At 36.0% G+C, this 24,663-nt stretch overlaps 1 protein-coding gene across 11 annotated transcripts in view; it reads left to right on the top strand.

The window, feature by feature from the left end:
• ERBB4 (erb-b2 receptor tyrosine kinase 4) overlaps positions 1-24,663 on the top strand; it is a 1,163,086-nt gene that overhangs the window by 968,413 nt on the left and 170,010 nt on the right. For all 11 annotated transcript variants that reach the window (NM_001042599.2, NM_005235.3, NM_001439006.1 and 8 more), the window contains one exon: positions 8,302-8,487. In NM_001042599.2, coding sequence (NP_001036064.1) covers positions 8,302-8,487 — 186 coding nt within the window. The remainder of the gene's footprint in view (positions 1-8,301; positions 8,488-24,663) is intronic.

Below are 24,663 nucleotides of genomic sequence, written 5' to 3'. Positions count from 1 at the left end.
GTTTGAGACCACCTGGCCAACATGGTAAAACCTTGTCTCTACTGAGAAAAAAAAAAAAAAAAAAGCAAAAATTAGCCAAGTGTGGTGGCGGATGCCTGTAATCACATCTACTCAGGAGGCTGAGGCAGGAGAATAGCTTGAACCTGAGAGGCAGAACTTGAAGTGAGCCAAAATCGCACCACTGCACTCTAGCCTGGGCAATAGAGTGAGACTCCGTCTCAAAAACAAAATAATAAAACATAAAAAACACAAAAATAAATAAATTTTAAACAACTAAAAGAGTAATTTTTGGAGGATCAAATCAGGAGATTTAGGCAAAATCTCATGAATCTGTGCCTTTCTCTAACATTTGAAAGTTTGAGAATGGTGATGGGGGCATTTACCTTCAGCCAAAGAGCAGCAAAATGGAAACATCAGAGGGGAGAAAATTATATGATATTGGCAAGTGCTTTATTGTAATAGTTAATATTGGAGATCAAGCTATGATAGAGGTAAATGAAGTACAACAGAAACCAGGCATTAAAAGATTTATGAATAAATCCAGTCTTCTTAAGGATTTAAGACTTAAACCCTTTATGACTGCAAGGCCCTACATGACTTGGTCCCTACCCACCTTTTCAATCCCATCTCATGCCATTAGAGCCCTTGCTAAATTCCAAGCACATGAGCCTTCTCAGACCTTCCAAAATATGCCAGACTCTTAGGTCATGCTTTTCCTTGAATGCTCTTTCCAAGTATTTATATATATGACTTTGTTTCATAAATCTGATCTCAGGACACATTTCCTGGCTCTCCTTATCTAAAGTAGCTCTGCGACCACCGTTTCATTATCTATCACAACACTCTGTTTATTTTTGTGATACCTCTTAATCTCATTTAAAAATACTTATGCATCTGTTTTATGTTTATTTGGCTTTCCTGTTTACTAGTTGCCTCTCCAGGTAGAATGAAAGCTTCCTGAGGCTGGAGATTATTTTGTAGACACAACTTCAATCACAGTGCTAGGCACCTAGCAAGTTCTCAATAAACATTTTTAGGTGAAGAAATATAAAACTAACGGGATAAAAAATATCATAAAGATGGAATTTCAGTGTAATCCGGAGTGGAAGAAAAAAGAGGGAAAACAGAAAGTAGAATTCTTTCCCGATGTAGACTTCTTCAAAAGGTCTTCAATGAAGTGGCAGTGTTAGTGACTAAATCTAACGTATGGCCACCCAATGGGTGAATGATGTAGAATAGAGATGGAAAAGTGCTGACTTCAAAGTTTAGAAGAGTCCTGATCTGATTGTTGGAGTCCACAAAAATGATACCAAGGATTGGAAGGGAGTGGTAAGGCTACTGAGCAATGTGGACACATTTAAATTGAAGGCATATTAATTCAGCCTCTCTAATTACTGCTCACCTATTTACCCAGATAAATTATAATTTATTCTAGACATGAAGGAACAGATGCAGATTTCGTTTATTTTATTATCTTCATACCATCTGCAGCAAAGCAAGTTAGTAAAAAAATTATTATGGACCAGTGATTTTATTTCATTTTTCATCATTGTGGCCGTCATTATCTTCTTTGTGTTCTTCATCACTAGCACTCTCACTATCTTTAGGGGCAGCATTTCTTTCAAGCGCTCACAAATCTGCTGATGGTTGCATGATGTGTAGTTTTATATGTCTACATTAATTGTCTCTTTTCTTTTCCTCTATCTCTCTTTTAATCTTCCCTATCTCTGATGCAATGAGATTTTCCTGGTTTTCAGCTGGAGGGTATTGCATTAATGGTCCATAGATACAATGAAACAGAGTTTGGCTGAAGTTAACATTTTTAAAAACAGAATAGCCTATAAGTTTTCACTGGCAATATGGTTGTTTCTTCCCTTTTGTCTTTGTGAAACCGCTAAATAATATGAAAAACTAAAGTGGAAAGATATAAATATCTGGTGGTTGTGCAAAACGATAGCTGAATATAAAAAAATGGTATTGCTCACTTATTATTGTACAAAAATGTCTTCCCTTCAGGCTGAAATAGAGATATAGATAATATGTGGCTAGAGACTTGACATACATGCTTCAGAGCTTTTTAATCTATACCTCAGTAGTCCCTTGATGGTTTTTTTAAAAAGACCTTATTTACACCAGACTTCATTATAAAGAAAAATATTTTTGTTTTAGAATTTTTACTGTAGCACCTGTTACATTATTCCCTTCTGTTCAATGAGAAAACTCTGAAACTTACCTACAAGAAAAAAAAAAATTGTAAAGCAAAAAGGAAAAAAAAGACAGAATAATTTTTTTCTGGAAAAATAGATAATGTCCCTGTCAGGTTGTATTTATTCCCATGGTCTTCAGCGACATTTTCTAGTGACAGCAGCAAAGATTCCAAAATTGCCTCCATAGGTCCCACACAAAGATAACTAACAGAGGACATTAAGTTTAACACAGAGTAATTTATTGAAAGCCGACACTCTATGATTAAAATATTGGGATTTTTCCCTTTTTTATCCCACTCATCAGTCTAAATAAATTCATATTCCCTTTTCTTTATCTACTCTCCTATCCTCCAAACCAGCCATCTGCTATTTCTTTTATGAAAAAAAAAAAAAAATGCAAGCTACAATTAGTGTCTTGTTCGTTTTTCTTTCTTCAGAAAAAGAGAACTATTACGCAAATACTCTGCAATTTGGTTTCAAATACTCTTTGTAGTGTGATGAGCAATTTTTCTTAATAGAAACCCAGCTTTTTTGCCAGGACTTACTAACAGATTTTTAAAAAGAGAGCTTCCGTGTGACTTTTTTACACCTCTTAATGTAAACTTTTCAAATGCAAAAGTAACCCCAAAATCTTTCTTCTACTTTACATTTTGTCATTCTCTTTACCTTAATAAATAACATTTATCAAATACTACCCTCAGTAAATCAGAGAGAAATATTTTATTTGACTTTTTCTGAAAACATTGTAAAGTGATGACAGTTTACCTGTAAGCACAAATGTATTGTTTGATTTTAGTTCCTTCTCAGGAAGCAAAGCATAATTTGACCCAATTCATGCAGGTAGGGCTAATGTGAGGTGCTTGGGGCTGTCTTGCTAAAAACATAAAGATTGACACTGTAATATGCTGATGAAACTGAAGTAAAAAATATGATATTTCTACTGTCGTAACAGTACAGTCAGAATAAAAATCCTGAGTGTTTACTGATCCTGCTACTAACAAGTCACATGACCTGGGCCGGTAATCTCATTGAGTTTTGGTTTCCTCATTTTGCAGCTGAGAATTAATTTTGAGTTTGAACTGCTTCATGGGATTATAATAAGGATCAAATAATTATTAGATGTTATTGCTTTTGCAATGGATTATAGAAGCACACATTCGATGGAGACATCAAGATGTGCTAGAGGTTCTCAACATTTTATATTTCCTAAGTTCCTTTAACAAGGGTACTTGCTACGAATGGAGACTCCTAAGATCTTCTTCTAAACCTGAGTATCTGGGAGTGGGGCCACACTTGTAACTGTAAACCTAGGTGACTTTCATATACACAAAAAATTCAGAGCCACCAAAAAAGAAATAACATAAGTATAAATTGACTTTAATCTGATATCTAATATTTAAGTATCTAACTTAATACACAATTAAATATATAATTAAATTAATGATTTAATCTAATTAGATGTTTTGCTGATTTGTCGGTATGTGTATATTTTTACATGTGCATGTTATAATTCAATGAAGGAACCCTCTGGTTTACACTGTGAATACACTTAATACTAGATTAAATAATAGGTAATAATAGATCATTTAAGTTGGCTAACATTTTCATCTATACTCTCTTTATAACTACATTGCTTTGCTTTATTTCAAATGTTTACTGAGATACACAAGAAGTGAAAGCAAATGTTTTCACCTCGTGAATCCAGACGAGGCCACATGAATAGTAATAACGTAGATTTCTGGCTCTGCTAATTATGCAAAACCCTGGCCCCCCAAGCAGTCTCCGCAGATATTTTGGAAACTTGTTGGGTGTCTCCTATTTACCTATAATCTGGCCTTCCAGCTGCAGTCTCCCTGTACAGTGATCGTTCTTACCAGTTCTGATCCCCATGTTGAATTCTCTTCTCTCTGAGCCATTGGAGAGGTCCCACTCCTGTTACCGCTGACTGATACCATGTAAGGATGCTTCTGTGGTTTCTACAGTGATCTTTCCTACCAGTTCTGGTCCCTATGTTGAATTCTCTTCTCTCTGAGCCATTGGAGAGGACCTACTCCTGTTACTGCTGACTGGTACCACGTGAGGATGCTGAAGTCCTTGCTAGGCGTGACGCCTCAAAGTGCACCCGGAACTTCCAGTCATCATCTTGTTGCAGTCCTGGTGGGCTCAGCAAGAAAGCATAGAAACTGGTCTCTGTTCTGTGACTCTTCTTGTTCCCTGGGGCAGCTAGGGAAGAGATAATTGAAGTATCTTTTTTACTTGGAAGCCATGTGAAAAACAATGATTTCAGTTTTTGCCACCAAACCTCAGAAACAAAAAGTCTTTTGAGGGAGAGTGACAGCATTTTACCAGCTTACTTCTTTTGTTTGGTCTTCTATCACTCCTTTCTCCAGGCGTGTTCCCATGCTGCCCCCTTTTCCTTACTGAAAAAATAAAATGTTAAACCTCACGATAAACCCTTGGCTGGATCTGGGAAGCCCACATACCCCATCAAACACTGCATATTTGTGAATAACTCTTGTAAGGCACAGCTGAACTCAACAGCGGTAAAATAGTAGGGACGGTTAAAGGGGATAATGTCCTCCCAAGTAGCTTTAAGGTAATTATAAAAAAGTGAAATACTTTGACAAGACTAATGATGAAAGATGCTAGCTACCCTGCTGTCCCTTCCCTGCCCCCATTTTCCACTGCCCAAATCAATCACTTTCAAATCTTTGGAAATTTCTTCTGTTACTTAACTCCATACATTTAAATAATATGCTTATACTGTGAAGTCTTAATTTTTTCTTTTTAGCCTATGTATCATATGCTAACTTTTTGCAACCAGCAATGGTTATGTACCTTTCACTCCATTCCCATCACCACCTTTCAGAAGGGCATACTCTGTCCCATCTTCCCACAGCTATATGATTTCTGATTATATCAGTATTTCATGTTTAAACTATTATGATTATGTAACTATTCCCAGTTGTGCTGTATCGTAAGTATGATTTTCTGTTTAATTATTTGTATTAATTTATGGAGTACAAGTATAATTTTGTTACATACATAGATTGCCTAATGGGGAAGTTAAGACTTTTAGTGTATCCATCACTCAAGATACATTGTACCTATTGAGCAATCTCTCATCATCCACTCCCCTCTTAGCTCCTCACCTTTCTGAGTCTTTCTTGTGCATATCTTTGTGTTTTATCTCAGGTTAATTTCTTCTTTTTTACTTTAGCTTAGTTTTCTATGTATCTATCACTAATTTGACCTTCAACTCCCACTAGAAAAATAAATACTTTCTTAATGTATTTTAAGTTCATCAGGCATTCTATCAATTCCATCTTCTTGGGTCACCTTTCCCAGAGCTATTTGTCCTGTTCCAGTTTGGGCTGGCTGCTATTTCCGTTTGTTGTATAGCTTTTATTCTAGAAAATTATTCACTGTATTTTTTGTATTTCCATATCTCATGCTTGATGTTTGTTTCCTTGATTTTATGTACTCTTCTAACACCCCCTCCCTTTTTTATGAGCACGTTTACAAAGAAAGGAAGCATGGAAGGTACATGTATCAAGATTTGGCATGTCTGAACATGTCTGTTGTATGCATTCACTTGGTTGAAATGCTGCTAGGTGTAAAATTCTAGGTTGAAACAAAACTTTGAGAATTTTGAAGTCACAGCTCTATTTGGGAGATGGAATGGAAGAAATCGTCCATATTTTTATCATATGTAAATTTACATAATACTTCTATTTTCCCCAGAGTACTTCTCTTTCCATTTTGCCTGATATCCACAGTCCACAGTTCTTTTGGTTTAAGATTTCCTAGAGGTAAAGGGAAGAAGGAGATGTGTAGTCTAAGTGTTTCCTAAATGTACTCTGAAGCATTCCCGCTGAAAACAGTTCTTCTTGCTCTGTTTAGGGAGGTTTGTAATACTACTACTCCTCAGCCTTTGGTGTTATACATTATTGGGTTGCTTCTCAGTTTCCCCCCATTAAATTAGGCTTCAGATTGCTTATGTTTACCAAGTTGGCTAACACTGATAAGCCACTTCCTACTTTTACTATTCTATCTTTATTGCCTCCTTTCTGTGATTGTTGGTGTCTGTCTTTTAAAATTAACTCTTTTTTTGTCAGTATAATGAAGTTGAAATGAAAGGGAAGTAATTTGTGAATTCAATCTGCCATACCATGTTAAATGGAAACTCAATATAATTTGTGTCCTTAATTTTTTATTTTGAAATGTTTCAAAGTTATAGAAAATGTTCAAGAGTAATACAATGAACACTGTACCTTCATATAGAAAAACCAACTGATAATCCATTGCCATATACATATTACACCCTCTATGTGTATGTGCATTTGTGTGTATATATATGTATAGACACATCAAAAACATAGATACGTATACATATATTATATATCTCTCTCCCTCCCTGTGTGAGTAAACTATTTGAAAGTAAATGGCAGACACAAGATAGTTCATCTATAAAGACTTCAGGATCTTCTAAGATCAAAGAATACTACTTTACATAGCTGCAATACCATTACCACTCTCAAATATTTAACATTGATATAATAGTACATGATATATAGTCCCTATTTAGATTTCCTCAATTATCCCAAGAATGTTTTATATATTTTTTTATCCAAGAGCCAAAGATGCAACATTGCTCTATTTCTGTAATAAATGTTAGTTTGAACATCATACACTTCTTTTACGTTTCTCCTAATATTGACATTTTAAATAAGTACAGGCCAGTTTCTTTGCAGAATGTCCTACAATATGGATTTGTCTGATTTTTTCCTCATGATTAGATTCAGATATTATTGACAAGAATACTACGTAGGTGATATTACATAGCTTTTCAAAAGCAAAAATTTACTATTGTTTTCGTAGGAGATGAACAATATTTTATTGGCTTTCATAATATAAAAGCACATATCAAGCCGTAACAAAGTACATAAACATTTATTTTATGGTTATGTCTATTTCAAATTACAATCAAGAGTCTTATAATAACTTTTTATTAGAAGCTAACTGGTATGCACTAAATAACCATCATATGTCCACTTTTATCCCCATTAAGCAGTGGTGCCTTTATGATTCTGATGCAAAATTATAACTCAGTTTTCTCATTTTATGAAATATAAAAGTTGGAGTACACTTTGGGAGGCCGAGGCGGGCGGATCACAAGGTCAGGAGATAGAGACCATCCCGGCTAAAACGGTGAAACCCCGTCTCTACTAAAAATACAAAACATTAGCCGGGCGTAGTGGCGGGCGCCTGTAGTCCCAGCTACTTGGGAGGCTGAGGCAGGAGAATGGCGTGAACCCGGGAGGCGGAGCTTGCAGTGAGCCGAGATCCCGCCACTGCACTCCAGCCTGGGCGACAGAGCGAGACTCCGTCTCAAAAAAAAAAAAAAAAAAAAGTTGGAGTAGTCAAATTTTTATAGTCTCAGCTCTCAAATTTTATGAATCTATGAATAAGACATCACTTATAATTTTGAAAATGAAATAAATTTGAGGAAAGGTAAAATTATGAAACAAAATATCTTATTAAAATGTTTATTATTTTATATAAATTGACAATAGACATATTACTTGTAATTATCTACATTTCCATATTTACGATTTATACATGACACCGTTGTAAGCTGTCCAACTCTACACCAATAATGGGTGACTTCAAAGTTCAGCTCACCTTACTCTACCTGCAACTAACTAAATTTGTATACATTATTTTACCAGAGCAAAGGTCAAAGGTTAAAAATCCATAATATAAGCTGGAATTCATTTTGACTTACTTGGCAATAAGTAAAATCTCATATTGCTCATATTACAAAGGAGAAAATACTGCTATTAATTGTGTAGGCAGTTATTGTATAACAGCTTCCATGTTAATGCATGTAGAGACTTTGTTGTTTATTTAATTTTATTGAATGAAATCACTTTAAAGATAGAATAACTGAAATTATGTCTTTTCATTTTGATTGATTCCATTGAGTAAGAGTACATTTTTAAAAATCATCAGCACCATTAGTACAATCCAAGTAACTCTAAATCTAAGAAAATTTGAGTTGAAATCATGGTATTGCATTTTTTTCTTACAGGAAGCTCTGATCATGGCAAGTATGGATCATCCACACCTAGTCCGGTTGCTGGGTGTGTGTCTGAGCCCAACCATCCAGCTGGTTACTCAACTTATGCCCCATGGCTGCCTGTTGGAGTATGTCCACGAGCACAAGGATAACATTGGATCACAACTGCTGCTTAACTGGTGTGTCCAGATAGCTAAGGTAAGTGCCTGTCAATTTCTATGGAAATTACATTTTTAGGTTAATATTTCCTAACCTGGAACAGTTTTCATATTGAAAATATGTTGTCTTCCCATTTAAATAAAATAAAGTATATTTGCTGCAATGAAAGATACATAACAGAGAGGTACTTTTAGGTAAACTACAGATTAAATGCGTGATATATATTTTTAGATTATTGTGTTGTATCATTTTTATTGAATTGACTAGGTGCCAAAACAAATAGCTTGGTAGTCAGGGGGAGGAATTGTTATACTGGATTTGTTTGGCTTATTTGTTTCGGTATAGTCTAGTTAACTAATAAAATCCAAGAAAGAAAGGGTTGAATGTCTGAATTTGTTCATGTTTAGATGATTTTTAAAAATAGCCTTTATGTTTAACTCTCACTATTACAAATGAGCAAAGTCTAAATATATTCTTAGTCTTTTTGATGATCTTCAATTGGTTTTTAATGGTTGAGAGTTTTAGTCTTACACAAAGGCTTAGGCATGTCACATATATAAGGGCAGTGTTCTGGGGTGATAGGGGAGGTGGGTCTGTGGTTACAGAGAGCATTTACTAGTTTCTAGGGGACTGTGAATTGGGGAATATTACTAGAGTTAGCTGATCTTTTAATTTTTTTAAGAGTGGCCAGAATTCTGGATTTTTTGTGATTTCCCAAATTTAAATCTTAAGTCAATTTTTGAAACACTGGAGTCTAAACAAAGCATTCTTATCATGCAGTCTGCTAGTGTGCAACTTCTAGTATACATTCTAAATGTTCAAAACAAATATCTATGATTATCTATACCAGATATCTATCTTGATAATTTTCTATTTCTAGAGAAATAGGTCAATGATGAGTTTTAATTATGTCAACTCTTAGTTACATCAAAATATGACCCGAAGTCTTTTAAGATTCCATAGATATTTTTATCTATACGTTTGTACAATATAAATGCCAAAATAATAACATAGTGGTTTTGGCCTTTTTTAAATAATGTAATAATGAATAAAAGCACATTATAGAAAAAAGAAATTTGACATAATTATTAAAATTTAAACCAAAAATTTTACTTGACAGAAAAGCTCAGCTTAGTTCTATACACCATAACTCGCAGTAGAGTTTCCTTATGGACTGTGTATTATAATTTTGTAACTGTTATGTAATAACTGCAACTGTGAGGATTCTTTATGGCAATGAAGTTTGAAATATAGCACTTCCGAAATGGATTTATCTAAGAACTTCTATAATTTATAAGGTGAGTTAAATATGCAATAGAACTTATCAAATCATTCTAGGACTATAAATGAAAACAAAGCTAAGCTTCAGGCCAGGTGCCATGGCTCACACCTGTAATCCCAGCACTTTGGGGGGCCGAGGCAGGTGGGTCACCTGAGGTCAGGAGTTTGAGACCAGCCTGACCAACATGGAGAAACCCCATCTCTACTAAAAATACAAAATTAGCTGGGCATGGTGGCACATGCCTGTAATCCCAGCTACTAAGGAGGCTGAGGCAGAAGAATTGCTTGTACCTGGGAGGCTGAGGTTGTGGTGAGCCGAGATCACACCACTGCACTGCAGCCTGGGCAGCAAGAGGGAAACTCCATCTCAAAAAAAAAAAAAAAAAAAAAAAAAAAAAGCTAAGCTTCAAATTTGTTAGTGCTGTCTGTATTTTCTGCTGTGTCTCTACAATTTAGGTTTTGTCCTTAAGGTTTGTGTTATTAATATATCATTTATATGACATTGTACACTCTAATAAGAGAAACTACTTTGAGTTTCCTGAATAATTAGTTTTATACCTTTTTGCCTTTGCAAATGCCATCCCCTAAGCTTAGAAGTCTTCTCTTGGCTTCTTGGTTCATGCTGCATGATCTTATTCATCCATCAAGCCTGTTTGGGCATCCTCCATTTATGGAGTCTTTCCTAGTCAACCCTTCTCTGGAGGCAGAAATAATTATTTTCTTTTTTGTATTAATTTTGGTAGTTGATATCTTGAACACATTCATATTACGTAAATGTCATACTATACTTTTACTATCTCTCTGTCTATATGGTAAGCTTATTTAGTCATTAATCTTCAGCAGATATTGGTGGGCTTTTATCTTGTTTCAGATACGATGTTGACTGAGGTATGTATGAGTAAACAATGCAGATACGAGCCTGGTTCTCTCTGTGCACCCTAATGGATTGAACAGACATTCAACAAATGAAAGAATTAACTATAGGATTGAATACAGTGGTTCAGATTTTAAAGAAAGCCAACTACTAGGGAGACTTAAGAGAAGACACTGAGTCCTGAGGGAGAAGTCTTCAGCTATGAGAATAATATTTAGGCAAAAGAAAGATCACACAGGGCTCTACAGATGTGGTGATCAAGAGACTTATCATCCAAGTGGAATAATTTTAGGCATGAAAGGAGACTGTATTACTAGTTATGCCAGGACAACAGGCACAGAAAAGTCCTAAACAGAACATATTATATGGTTACCCAGTATAGCAAGAAAAATTTGAATTTTATTTTAAGTGCTGTAGGTAGTTACTGAAGTATTTTAACATGCAATTGACATAATCTCATTTATATTCTAAATAGATCATGCAGTCTATGTACGGAGGTTAGATTGAGGCGATATAAGAATGAAAATGAAGATACTAATTAGGAGTCTGGAGGCAATGCCAATAAGGAGAAGTAGATGGAATTAAGATATATTTGGGGGGCAAAATTTAAGGTATTCAATTATTGATTAGCTATGAGTGGTGAGGGAGGGGAGTACGGTGAGATCATTTCCTGAGGTGGTGAAGGATGGGGGATGAACATTTGTAGGAAAAAATCAAGAGTTCAGTTTCAGACTTGGCACATTGGAAAAGTTTATAGAACATGAAACTGGGAATGTTAATGAGGTAGTTAAATTTGGTCAGTACTGTATATATACATTTAGGAATTATAGGTATTTAAATATATGGAAAGATGAAGGATTACCTTGAGACTGACTGTATCTGATTCTCATTTATTCCCGGAATCTAAAATTGGATCTTACATGTAGTTAGCCATTCAATAAATATATAGTAATTATTTTTAATCCAAGAAAATAACAAAATCTACCCTTAAGCAGGGAGTCCTTCCTTTATTTTTTTTTTCTACTTCGGGAGCAGAATTGTGTAGTGGAAACAGACTTAGGGTTAGAAACACTATGTTTATATGTTGGTGCCTACTTTTCAGTTTTGTGAGTTTGTGTTGTTTAGCCTCTGAATTCTTGTTTCTCATTGTATATAGTGGTATTAATAATTACTATATTTTTTTCTCATGTGCAAAAAGAATGTAATAAATGGTATCTACCTGTGGTAGGTTGAATAATATCTTACCCTCAAAGATGCTAATACATTCTATCCCCAGAATCTGTGAATGTTGCTTTACATGTTAAAAGGGACTTTGCAGATGTAATTAAATTAAGGATCTTGAGATGAGATTATCCTGGATTACCCAGATCGGCCCATTGTAGTCACAGGGGTCTTTGTAAGTGGGAGGCAGAAGGATCAGAGCAGGAGACAGAAGACATAAGAACAGATCAGAGCTGAGCAGTGCACCTTGAAGATGGAGGAAGGGACCATGCATTGAGGAATGTAGGCACCTCTAGAAGCTGGAAATGATAAGGAAACAGACTCTCTTAGAATCTCCAGAAGAAATACAGGCCTCCCTGTTCCTTGATTTTATAGCCTGGTGAAACTGATTATGGACTTCCAACCTACAGAGCTGTAAGAGAATAAATTTGCATTGTTTTCAGCCACCTTTCACCCTAAGGTAGGCCCTAGTGTGTGTTTCCGTGTATCCATGCATTCTCATCATTTAGCTCCCCTGTATAAGTGCTAACAAGTGGTATTTGGTTTTCTGTTCCTTGTTAGTTTGCTAAGGATAATGGCCTCCAGCTCCATCCATGTTCCTGCAAAGGATATGATCTTGTCCATTTTATGGCTGCATGGTATTCCAAGGTATATATGTACCACATTTTATTTATCCAGTCTACCATTGATGGGCATTTAGGTTGATTCTGTGTTTTTGCTATTGGAAATACTGTTGCAATGAACATACGTGTGCATGTGTCTTTATAATAGAGTTATTTATATTCCTGTGGGTATATACCCAGGAAGGTGATTGCTGGGTTGAATGGTACTTTTGTTTTTAGCTCCTTGAGGAATTGCTAGACTGCTTTCCATAGTGGTTGAACTAATTTATGCTCCCACCATGTATAAGTGTTCCTTATACACTTATAAGGAACAACAATGTATAAGTGTTCCTTTTTTCATCACAACCTCACCAGCATTCTGACTGGTGTGAAATGGTATCTTTTTGTGGTTTTGATTTGCATTTCTCTAATGATCAGTGATGTTGAGCTTTTTTTCATATGCTTGCTGGTTGCGTGTACGACTTCTTTTGAAAAGTGTCTGTTCATGTCCTTTGCCCACTTTTTAATGGGGTTCTGTTTTTTTCTTGTCTATTTGTTTAAGTTCCATATAGATGCTAGATATTAGATCTTTGTTGAATGCATAGTTTGCAAAAATTTTCTCCCTTTCTGTAAGTTATCTTTTCACTCTGTGGATAGTTTCTTTTGCAGTGAAGAAGCTCTTTGATTTAATTAGACCCCACTTGTCAATTTTTGTTTTTCTTGCAATTCCTTTTGGTATCTTCATCATGAAATCTTTGTCCATGCCTATGTCCTGAATGGTATTGTCTACGTTGTCTTCCATGGTTTTTATAGTTTTGGGTTTTACAATGCAATCTTTAAGTTATCTGGAGTTGATTTTTGTATATGGTGTAAGGAAGGGGTCCAGTTTCAATCTTCTCCATATGGCTAGGCAGTTGTTATTACAGCCCCATTTATTAAATAGGAAATCTTTTCCCCATTGCTTGTTTTTTGTCAGGTTTGTCAAAGATCAGATAGTTGAAGGTATGCAGCCTTATTTCTGGGTTCTTTCTTCTATTCCATTGGTTTATGTGTCTGTTTTTGTACCAGTACCATGCTGTGTTGGATACCATAGCCCTGTAGTATAGCTTGAAGTTGAGTAACATGGTGCCTCCAGCCTTGTTCTTTTTGCTTAGAATTGCTTTGGCTATTCAGGCTCTTTTTTGGTTCCATATGAATTTTAAAATAGTTTTCTTTAGTTCTGTGAAGAATGTCAATACTTTCTTGGTCCTGAATTTCATTTTTATTGCACTGTGATCTGAGAGAGTGTTTGTTATGGTTTCAGTTCCTTTGCGTTTGCTGAGGAGTATTTATGTGCAATTATGTGGTTGATTTTAGAGTATGTACCATGTGGCAATGAGGTGGATGTATATTCTGTACCCTGTAAGTATATACACCTATGTACCCACAAAAAGTTTAAAAAATAAAAAATAATTTTATTTTTCTTAAAAAAAGAAGAAAGTATATTCTATTGTTTTTGGTGGAGACTTCTGTAGATTTCTATCAGATCCATTTAATCTAGTGCTGAATTTAGGTCCTGAAGACCTTTGTTAAGTTTTTTGTCTCAATGATTTGTCTGATAATGTCAGTGGGGTATTGAAGTTTCCCGCTATTATTGTGTGGGAGTCTAAATATCTTTGAATGTCTCTAAGCACTTGCTTTATGAATCTAAGTGCTCCTGTGTTGCACACATATATATTTAGGATAGTTAGGTCTTCTTGTTGAATTGAACACTTTACCATTATGTAATGCCCCTTTTTGTCTTTTTTGATCTTTTTTGGTTTATAGTCTATTTTTTCTGAAATTAGAATTGCAACCCCTATTTTTTTCTGTTTTCCATTTGCTTGGCAGATTTTTCTCTATCTTTTTATTTTAGCCTATTGTTGTCATTGCATGTAGTTGGGTCTCGTTATCCAGCTTGCCACTCTGTGCCTTTAATTGGGGCATTTAGCCCATTTACGTTCAAGATTTAGTATTGAAATGTGTGGATTTGATCCTGTCATCGTGATGTTAGCTGGTTATCATGCAGACTTGTTTGTGTGGTTGCTTTATAGTGTCACTGATCTGTGTACTTCAGTGTGTTTCTGTGACTGGTAATGGTCTTTCTTTTCCACATTTAGTGCCTCCTTCAGGAGCTCTTGTAAGGCAGGTCTGATGGTTACAAATTACTTCAACATTTGCTTGTCTGAAAAAGATCTTATTTCTCCTTTGCTTATGAAGCTTAGTTTCCCTGGATATGAAATACTTGGTTGGAATTTCTCTTCTTTAAGAATGTTGAATGTTGGTCCTGAATCTCTTCTGGCTTTTAGGGTTTCTGCTGAGAGGTCCACTGTTAGTCTGATGGGCTTCCTTATAAGGAAGTATTTTGTAAAATATTTTCATTTGTATTGTAAGTTTTCTTTCCATTCTTCCATTAGTTCATCATTCTACGACATTTTATGTGATAGAAAACACAAACTTAGGCTGGGCGTAGTGGCTCATGCCTGTAATCCCAGCACTTTGGGAGGCCGAGGCGGATGGATCACCTGAGGTCAGGAGTTCGAGACCAGCCTGACCAACATGGAGAAACCCCGCCTCTACTAAAAATACAAAATTAGCCGGGCATAGGGGCACATGCCTGTGATCCAAGCTACTAGGGAGGCTGAGGCAGGAGAATCGCTTGAACCTGGGAGGTAGAGGTTGCGGTGAGCCGAGATCGTGCCATTGCACTCCAGCCTGGGCAACAAGAGCGAAACTCCGTCTCAAAAAAAAAAAGAAAACACAGACTTAAACACCAAAATTGTTTGTTTCTTATAGGCAGTCATGCTCCCTCTGCATGTGCTGCCTTTGGACTTGACTGAATTTGGTAAGCAGAGCAGTCCATGTTATTATTTCATGCTCATATAATACCATATGCCTTCTTGATGCTTTATGAATCCAGGATACTAGGAAATCATGAAAATTTCGTCTTTTATCGTTGTTGCTAATAAGTTGGGCAAGCAGTTTTTAAAAGACAATTTAGCAGATTCTGAATAGTGTATGTGAGGTGTTTCTGTTTTTGTTTAACTCAGGTATTAATTTAATATGAGACAAAAAGTAGGCTGTTGCCCAAAGCAAACATCCTTAACTGACCCTACCATGTATGGGTTCAGCTTTGATTATTCAACAAAATCATGACTGATTGCTGTGGTCTGGGAGTGACCAAAAGGACTGTTTTCTCTACACAAAGTCAGGAGCCGAATACCAACCTTTATTTGCACTTGGGTTCCAGTTAAAAGCCACCTTAGACAGTGTAACAAAGTGGAAAACAGCACAGATCCTGGGACCAAGGTTCCATCACAAGCAAGCATATGAACTGTGTGACAACAGGCAGACAGTACCTGTGGTGTCTACAGGAAAGTGGGGCGAGCATCACCCCAGCTTCTAGCAGCTCTACAGCTGCCTGTACCTGCAGGCCCTCCTAGGCCCACTTCCTCTCCAGCACTGCGTGTGCTGTGTGGGTGGGAATGTGTGGCTCTGGGTCCAGAGCTGCATTGGAGTAACATTGACAATGAATGAGTCCATGTAGATCAAGTGTGTATTACACACCTGGCATATCCTTGGTGCTTTACGTACATTGTGTTGTTAAATCTTTACTGAAACTCTAGCAGATATGGCTCATTATTTCCCCAGTTTATAGATGAGGAAAATGGGAAGTTAAGTCCAAAAGGACACACAAATATATTGAAATGCCTGAGTGCTATGCCAGATAACTCTGACTCCTGAGCCAGGTCTCCAAACCACTCTGCATTCTTTCCTCTCCATACACACACACATCACTGCAGCTTAAAGTGACCTGCTCTTCTTCAACGGCACTCCGGAATTAGAGGACTGAAGGGGAGCATACCATTTTATCTGTAGTTGTGTCTCATCATTAATTCCATAAGAGAAAAACTGTCATGAATAATACTTGTTATTGTCTTCATGAGAACATGTTTTATCATTAACATCTATGCCGCATTTTCAGGAGAAAGTGCTAGATGAATATTTGTGGAGGAACTTCTTCAAGCAATGTTTTAACTATTGAAATAAAGCAAACTCAAAACAATTCTGGGAGCTACTATGGGTCATAGATACTAATTACAAGGGACACTGTAAAATAAGAATTTAAAATGTGTAGTCTGGTACTAGTTTGTGTTTAGCCTACAGATTCTGGGTTCAAATCTCATCTCTATCACTTACTAACTGTGCGAACTTTAATAAGTTAGTTAATCTCTCTGTGCTCTTGAAAAGGGGGATAACAGTGCTACCTATTTTGTAGGGTAATTTTAAGGATAAGATGATATTTGTAATGTGCTAAGCTTACTGTTTGGCATAAAGTAAGAATGTAAACTATGTGTTATTTTAGATAATATCTGAAATCACTACAATAAGGACAGACATATGTTTATAGTTAGAATACCCTAATTATGACACGTAAAAAATACCGTCATTTAAAAATATGACTTTTAAAATTTCAGATACAAAGTATTTAGCATTTGTTCATAGACCATACCAGGCTGAGGAGAGCAGGGAATCTCATGTTTAATATTCAATATTTTTTGCCTTTGGAACAAGGAACCTGAGTCTCTCATCCACATATGCTTTCCTACACAGGTTCCTAGGATGCTTGTGGTCTTAACTTGGCTTCTAATTTTTATGTTAAAAATTGTATTATTGGGCTGGGCGTGGTGGCTCATGCCTATAATCTCAGCATTTTGGGAGGCCAAGGTGGGTGAATCACGTGAGGTCGGAAGTTCGAGACCAGCCTGGCCAACACGGTGAAACCCCGTCTCTACTAAAAATACAAAAATTAGCCGGGCGTGGTGGTGGGTGCCTGCAATCCCAGCTACTCAGGAGGTCGAGGTAGGAGAATCGCTTGAACATGGGAGGTGGAGGTTGCAGTGAGCCGAGATCATGCCACTGCACTCCAGTCTGGGTGACAGAGTGAGACTCCATCTCAAAAAAAAAAAAATGTATTATTTGTAATATTGAAAACATGTGAAACCACCAGTGAACTGGCAAAGAACTGAGCTCAGGGGAAATTCTTAAGACAATCTATTACTGAAGAGGAGCAAAGAAAAAATTCTAACTTTTCAATCTCAAGCTAGAAAAGGTTAATATTTGTTTGACTTACTATTCCTGCAAAAATTTTAGTTTCTGACTTTGCTCTAAGGAAACTATCTTTTGTAGCTTTTTTATGATACATATATCACTGGTGCTGTATTTGTAAAGCCTGAATACTGAGTATAGGCCACTATTACCTTTCAAAATCCTAAAACCTTCCTCAGAGCTTTGCTGGCCTATTTACCTTGTCAGATTTTTTTTTCCGGTGCCCTAATTGATTTGAGGTTAAACTCAGATGTAAGGTTCCATGGGCTTTCTTTATTTTTTTTTGGTGTTTTGCCATTGAAACTAGTTGAAAGGGTGATTCTAAAAATATGTCAGTGGTCCATCGTACCCTTCAAGATGATTCACAGATTACCTGATTAAGTTGTATACTCAACTTAAACTTCTTCCAAAAAAAATTTTAAAAAATTTATTCAATATTTTTAAGAATTAGTGTGTCTAGCCAAAATAATTTAGATTCTACCTATAAATAAAGAATTTTTCAGTGTATTTTTGCAAACAGACTGATTCTACCATTTATATTTTCAGAGAAAATTAGTACTGTTTCAAAGTTTAGTGTAATTTGGGACCAGTTTAATAGACTTTCTCAATTTTTTTTTTTCATTTCCAACTCTACGTTATCACCAAATTACCTTGAATATCCATGTCATATTTCTAATTGGAGCTAATAAAACCTGATTATTTTTGTGGCCCAGGGACAGGTATCTGTGCGCTTTACTTTTCTTTACTATTGGTGGCAGAGTGGGAGTTAGTGGAAGGGGCAAATGGGAGAGAAGAACCTCTTTCACATTAAAAACGTGGTTCACAATGATTGGAAAGAGAGCAGATTCTTGTGTTAAGAAATGGATTCCTCTTCTGTGACAGATGTGAAAGCTTCCTTAAGGCTTGAATATGTTACACGAGCAGAGCCTTCATTTACCTTCTTTCCTCTTTTCCATTTTTCTCCAGTAGTAACTATGGGTGACAAGAAACTTAATTTCTTATTCAATCCAGCCATTTCCTTCTGCATGAATTAAAATTAAATTCAAATATGAATGTCTGATGTCATTTAAATGCTTGAACTGGGTGCTGACATTTCTAGTTTAATTCTGGTCAAGACCAGATGCTATGTGTAGATATGGCCTCAGTCATATGCATGTATATGCAAATTATAGAAATTTAAAAAATAATAGTCTAGAGAAGAGAAATAACCCTACTAACATCATAGAAAACATAAAATTGGCACTTATTAATATATTCAGTCATGTAATAGAGACATTTAATACTGTTTGGAAGTTTGTGAATACCAGTTGTTTGAATGGATTCCTTGGGTATATTTGGACACAGAAAAATTTTTATATTTTATAAAGGCACGATAAAAGATAAATATTAAAATTACAAGTCACAGTATTAGTGGCATAGCTAAACTCCCTTTAATGACAATACACCCTTAAAATCAAAATAAATTTATTGTAATTATATAACCACATTTTGGAAGAAAAAAGATGATAGCTTATTATTTATCATTTTTACTGTGATCATTTAAATTTGAATACACTATATAGTGTGATTAATTGTCATCAGACCTTTTGTGTATGTCAGCGGCATGAATCTAATTTGATGGTAAGATTTTATTCACAGTAAATAGCTTCAGTGACTCTACCAGGGTCACACTGCATACTAGTCTAAGGAAGAAGAACTAAACTCAGAAATATGGACAAGTCATTGATTATTTCATGGAGATACAGTGTTTAATTTTTTTTAATTAAAAAGCCAGCCTGAAGTGGGAGGATCACTGGAGCCGGTGAGGCGCAGATTGCAGTGAGCTGTGTGATTGCACCACTGCACTCCAGCCTGGGCGACAGAGCGAGACCCTGTCCCCCAACAAAAAAGGTGGTCGGGGGGAACCTAATAATGGAATTCTTGCGGTGTCTCGGTGTATTTCTTAGGACATGTCATAATTAGAGATTTGAGAATTGAATCCCAAAGGAAAATTATCTACAGCCATGATCTAACCAGGAACAATTAATTGATTAATTTAGAAATCATATTAAGTGTATTGCTTTGTAAAGAGAAACAGAACCAATGAAATGCATGTGTGTGTGTGTATATATATATATATATATATATATTCCTATATATATACTTATTCTAAGAAATAAGCTTAGAATATATATACCTATATATTCCTAAGTATATTCATATATAGATATATTCATATATAGAGATAGATATCTATATATTTATATATATATATATATATATTCTAAGGAATGAGCTCATGAGATTATGGAGGCTGATGAGTCCCAAAATAAGCAACTGGCAAGCTGGAGACCCAGGAAAGCCAGAAGCTGAAAGACAAGTCTTCTCCAGACAAATTTTCCTCGTCATTTCCTCTTTCCTCATGTTAATCAGAAATAAGTATGGTCAGATATATCAGATTTAAGGAAGAGTACATTTTTTTTTCTAAATTAGAATTATTCTATAGTATCAGAGAGTAGAGTGGTGGCTATCAGGGGCTTTGGGTTAGAAGAAAAGAGCTGTGATCAAACTTGCAGTTATATGATGAATAAATGTACAGACTTAAGGTACAGAAGGGTGACTATTGCTAACAATGATGTGTTGTATATTTGAAAATTGCTAAGAGAGTAAATCTCAATGTTCTTACTATACACATACACAAAAATGGGGACTAGGGTGAGGTGAAGGATACGTTTATTAGCTTAATGGTGGTCAGCATTTCACAATGTATACATGTATCAAAACATCTGGTTGTACATTTTAAATGCATACAATTTTTATTTGTCAATCATACCCCAATAAAGCTGGGGAAAAATTATTCTGGCTTGGTGAGCACCTATTAGAATTGGCTTGAAGTTCCACTTTATCATGTATAAGGAAGTCCCGACAGGGTTCTTTCTAGAGATACTGAAGAACCTGAAGAGGCACACAAAGTGCTGAGCAAACAGGAGCAGGGATTCCATTTTTGTGAATTTTGTCGTTGGCTCATAAAGGTACTGCTGGTTCACTCCCATCACAGCAGAACCCTCCAGTCTCTCAGTCAGGCATGCACAATTATCTAGCTTCCAAATAATTGTCTTCCTCTCTATTTTATTTGACACATAAGTGTTTATTGCTCAGGAATCTGAAATCTGCTGGTGGTCTGCTGGGTGACTCTGGGATTTTGCCTGGGCTCACTTACGTGTCAGAGGTATAGACTTTCTATCAGCTGAACTAGACTGGGGTGACTAGGGTGATGAGGCTCTTTGCCACATAACTCTTGTACCCGATCAACGTGGCTAGGGCATAGTCCTATATACCCTTGACTCATGCTACTCAGTCCTCCAGGGCCTGGATATCCATGCATTCACCATCCCTTGAGAAGCCGAGCACTTTTGTGGGTGCAGTGTGACCGTAGGAACATAGGTCTCCCTACCCAATCCCACTACCAGCCCCCTCTAGAACTGCCACCAGTGATTCTACCTTTCCCTTTCAGTCTTAAAGAAACTAGCCTTTTGTTTTCTAGGTGGTTGAGTTCTGCCTTTTCTATGTTCCCACCTCCATTGCTAGAAATAAGTCAATTTCTCAGACAACAAAACCTAAGTGAGACTTATTTTCTGGGTGCTGGTGCTTCAAAATTGCAATTTTACATCTTGCAGTACAAAAACCCTTTCCACATAGGGAGCCCAGATTAGAAACACGAAAACTTTCCTATTTATTCAGAAGTAGCAAGCACAAAACGTCAATTGATATTTTAATAATACATTTTGCTGCTGTTTCTACACAAGGAAAGAAAAACAATTAAAAAATGACGCAGAGAGAACCCAGCCCAAAAGAACCCAAAAGAAAATTTTCTTTTGTGGAACTGGTGAATCTTTAAAAATGATTAGCAGAGTCTATTGAAATGTTGGTGCAGGAAGGAGCCCCAGAAGGTCTAGTTCAGTGATTTTAAATTTTCTTGAGGCATGAATTTGTTTCATGTGAAATCTTAGTTTAAAATCGAAACAAATATAACCGAACCTAACTGCAGCAGCAGAAGGGTGTAGACAGGGCTTCATGGAACCCTAAGGATTCTCTAGATCCTCACAGAAACCAGCTTTAAGATCATCTAATGTGCTGTGTTGGAGATGGGGAAACGGAAACATAAGCAGGTGACAGAGTCCAGGTAAGGTCACGGTTCTTGGTGTCAGAGCCAAGACCTGGATCCATAACTGCTCTGCCACCCTGATATCCCAGTTCAGATTAACTGGCATCCAGCACCATCCCCAAGCCCTGACTGCAACACTTGTGGACGCTTTGTTTGTAATTTAGGTTCTATAACTACTACAGTGTGATGGAGAGTTGGTCTAAAATATGAGGTCGTATACCTCTTGTGATAATTTTTTAAATGAGCTTATGAATTTTTTCTCTATAGAATTTTATTTGAATTGGCTAGCTTACTTTTGCTTTGAAATACTTTTTGTGTTTTTAGTTTATCTCCCAAGGTTTTTTTTTTTTTAATCTTCCCTTTCCACCAATAGTTTTCCCTCTCGATCTTTCTATCAGTTTGTCTAATAACATTGCAACCTCCCAAATCGGTGATAAAGCACCTGGTTGAATTTGAATCATGTTCACCCTCTCCCTGAAACAATTTTATGCTTTTTATTTATGCGCCAAATTTTCATTGCCTCAAAGGAGGACAATATTTAAAGGGTAGTAAGGGGTAAGAGAGAATCTCTATACTACCAGATGAAAATGAAGTTTATTGAGGCGGTTTATAGAGCACAGGTCCCAGAATCCCACTGAAGCCTTAATTATTTCCTGGAGTTTGCATGAAATATGAAGGTTTCTCACTTAGAGGAGTCATTTAGGCTTTTTCTTGTCTAACCTATAAAATAGCAAGCTTCCCTTTTGCTTTGCTTTGCCTGTGGCTTTGTTTGGCATGCTGAGCAACTCTAATTCAGCTTGTAAGTTACTCCTTTCTATAAATGGCAAAGGGTTTTTATTCAGCTGCCATTCACATCCAGAAAGTAAAGAACTTAATTTCTTTACTGTGAATTTATGCTTCAGCTAGTACTTTTACGGTACTTTTTTTTTTTAACAGAAAAGTGAAAGCTACCCCAATCCAAATGGATTAAATTTTATTTCATGTGTGTAAAGTGCTCACACAATTTCATCTGTTAGTCATAACTTTTTGAGGCTTGGTATTGTAGCAGATTTTAGGAGCACAGTGATTTTCTCAAATGCAAAATCAAAGTAGGAGGACTGGCATATCTAGTTTATTGCTCCCCTATGGCTTTTGTTTCTAAAACTGTAGAGGTAGACGGGTGTTAACAATAGTGCTCTCAGGAAGTTGTGATATATATTTATGATCTTTCAGGTGTGTGCATGCGATTTTATTTTTCCCACAGATTTCAAGATGTTTATAGTAATCTGGAGATAAGATTTGCCTTTTTCTGGAAATAGGAGAAACAAAGAATGAGAATGTCAAGTGATTTGCTTGGAAACAGAAAAACTACAGTGGGACTGAAGATGAAACACAGATTAACTTACTTCCACAATTGATCACAACCAATTTTTTTTCTCCAGATAGCTCTTTAAAAATACAGCTTTTTATTTTGAAATAATTGTAGATTCACAGGAAGTTTCCAAAAATTTAAAGAGAGATTTCATTTGTCCTTCATCCATTTTCCCCAATAATAACATCTTGTATAACTATAAGTGCAGTATTACAGTCAGGAAACTGACATTAATAAAATCTGCATAACTTTTTCAGATTCACTGGTTTTACACAAATTTGTGTGTGTATGTGCGTGTGTAGTTCTATGAAGTTTTATCACGTGTGTAGATTCATATAGCCACCACAATCAAGATATAGAGCTATTTCATGGCCTCATCCCATCCCTTTACAACCGCATCCACCTCCTACTTATTTGTTTCTAAATGCACTCAAGCCTTGTCACGATCAGTATTTGTAATAATGACTTATTTTTAAAACATCTTCTGAACGTTTGTGTTTTGCACGCTAAAATGGGCATACAATATTCTGGACACTAAGCTTGATTCTAGCATTAGCAATTTGTCAGTCTTCCTTGAAAGGGTATCCTCTATGGATTTGTACAAAAAATATAGTATAATGGTGGCTATGAAGAAAAGGGTCTGTGTAGTTATGTAGCCTAGAAGGGGTGCAACACCAAACAGGTAGTATTATATCCTCTAATACTTACCTAGTGGGAACATCTAAATTCCTACTTGTACACCCTCATTTAACCATAAGAAAGTGGCTTAGCAGATCACTCTGGTTACAGAAGAAAGCCTAATAAACCCCAAAGGGCATTGAGCCACAAGGGAGGAAACTTAGGTTAATAATGAATACAGGCTGAAAGTGAATGAGAGCAAGCAGTTAAGGCTTTATGCCAATCTATTCTTCTATAAGAAAGTTTAAAAATTTAGGGTAATTCTTATTAGTATCATGTGATAAAACAAAATATATACTATATGTGTGTATATGTGTACACATGCATATACACATAAATATATATGTATGCATATGTATTATTTTTACACACCTTAAACATCAATATACTAGTAAGAATAATTTATATTTTGAATATAGAGTCATTCTATGTAGCCACAATTCTACAATACCCAGTGAAATATGTATGTGTGAAAAGGGATGTAGAATGTTGATAGCTATTATTGTGATGATTAAAAGTATTAGGCTAAACACTATTTCTACGTAATTTCACTTTCTATTATCTAAATTTGATTGATTAAAAAGAGCTTTTTGGCAACGGTTCATGATGTTTTATTTGGCTAAGGTAAAATATGAACAAAATATATGTGTAGTTATGGAAAGGGAGGGTGAGCTGAGTGGTGATGAGCACATGAAGAAGAGTGGCTCTCGGTCAAGGATTTTATCCTTCATGAAGAAGCCTTTTCCTAAGCTCAGTCTCCACCTCAATCACAAAGTGAACAAAAGATTAGCTTAATGACAGTCATCTATCAGCTAGCCACATTTCAGGTTTCAAGATCCTACTATTCCCAATGCTCCCTGCCTTGACAAGGCTAATTGTATAATTACAATACTACATCACCCACTCCTGGTGTACTTTCCCTGGCAAGAACTGGAAC

Source organism: Homo sapiens, chromosome 2, assembly GCF_000001405.40.
Source record: "Homo sapiens chromosome 2, GRCh38.p14 Primary Assembly".
In the NCBI taxonomy this organism is placed as follows: domain Eukaryota; kingdom Metazoa; phylum Chordata; class Mammalia; order Primates; family Hominidae; genus Homo; species Homo sapiens.
This window is presented reverse-complemented; position numbering and strand designations above follow the sequence as displayed.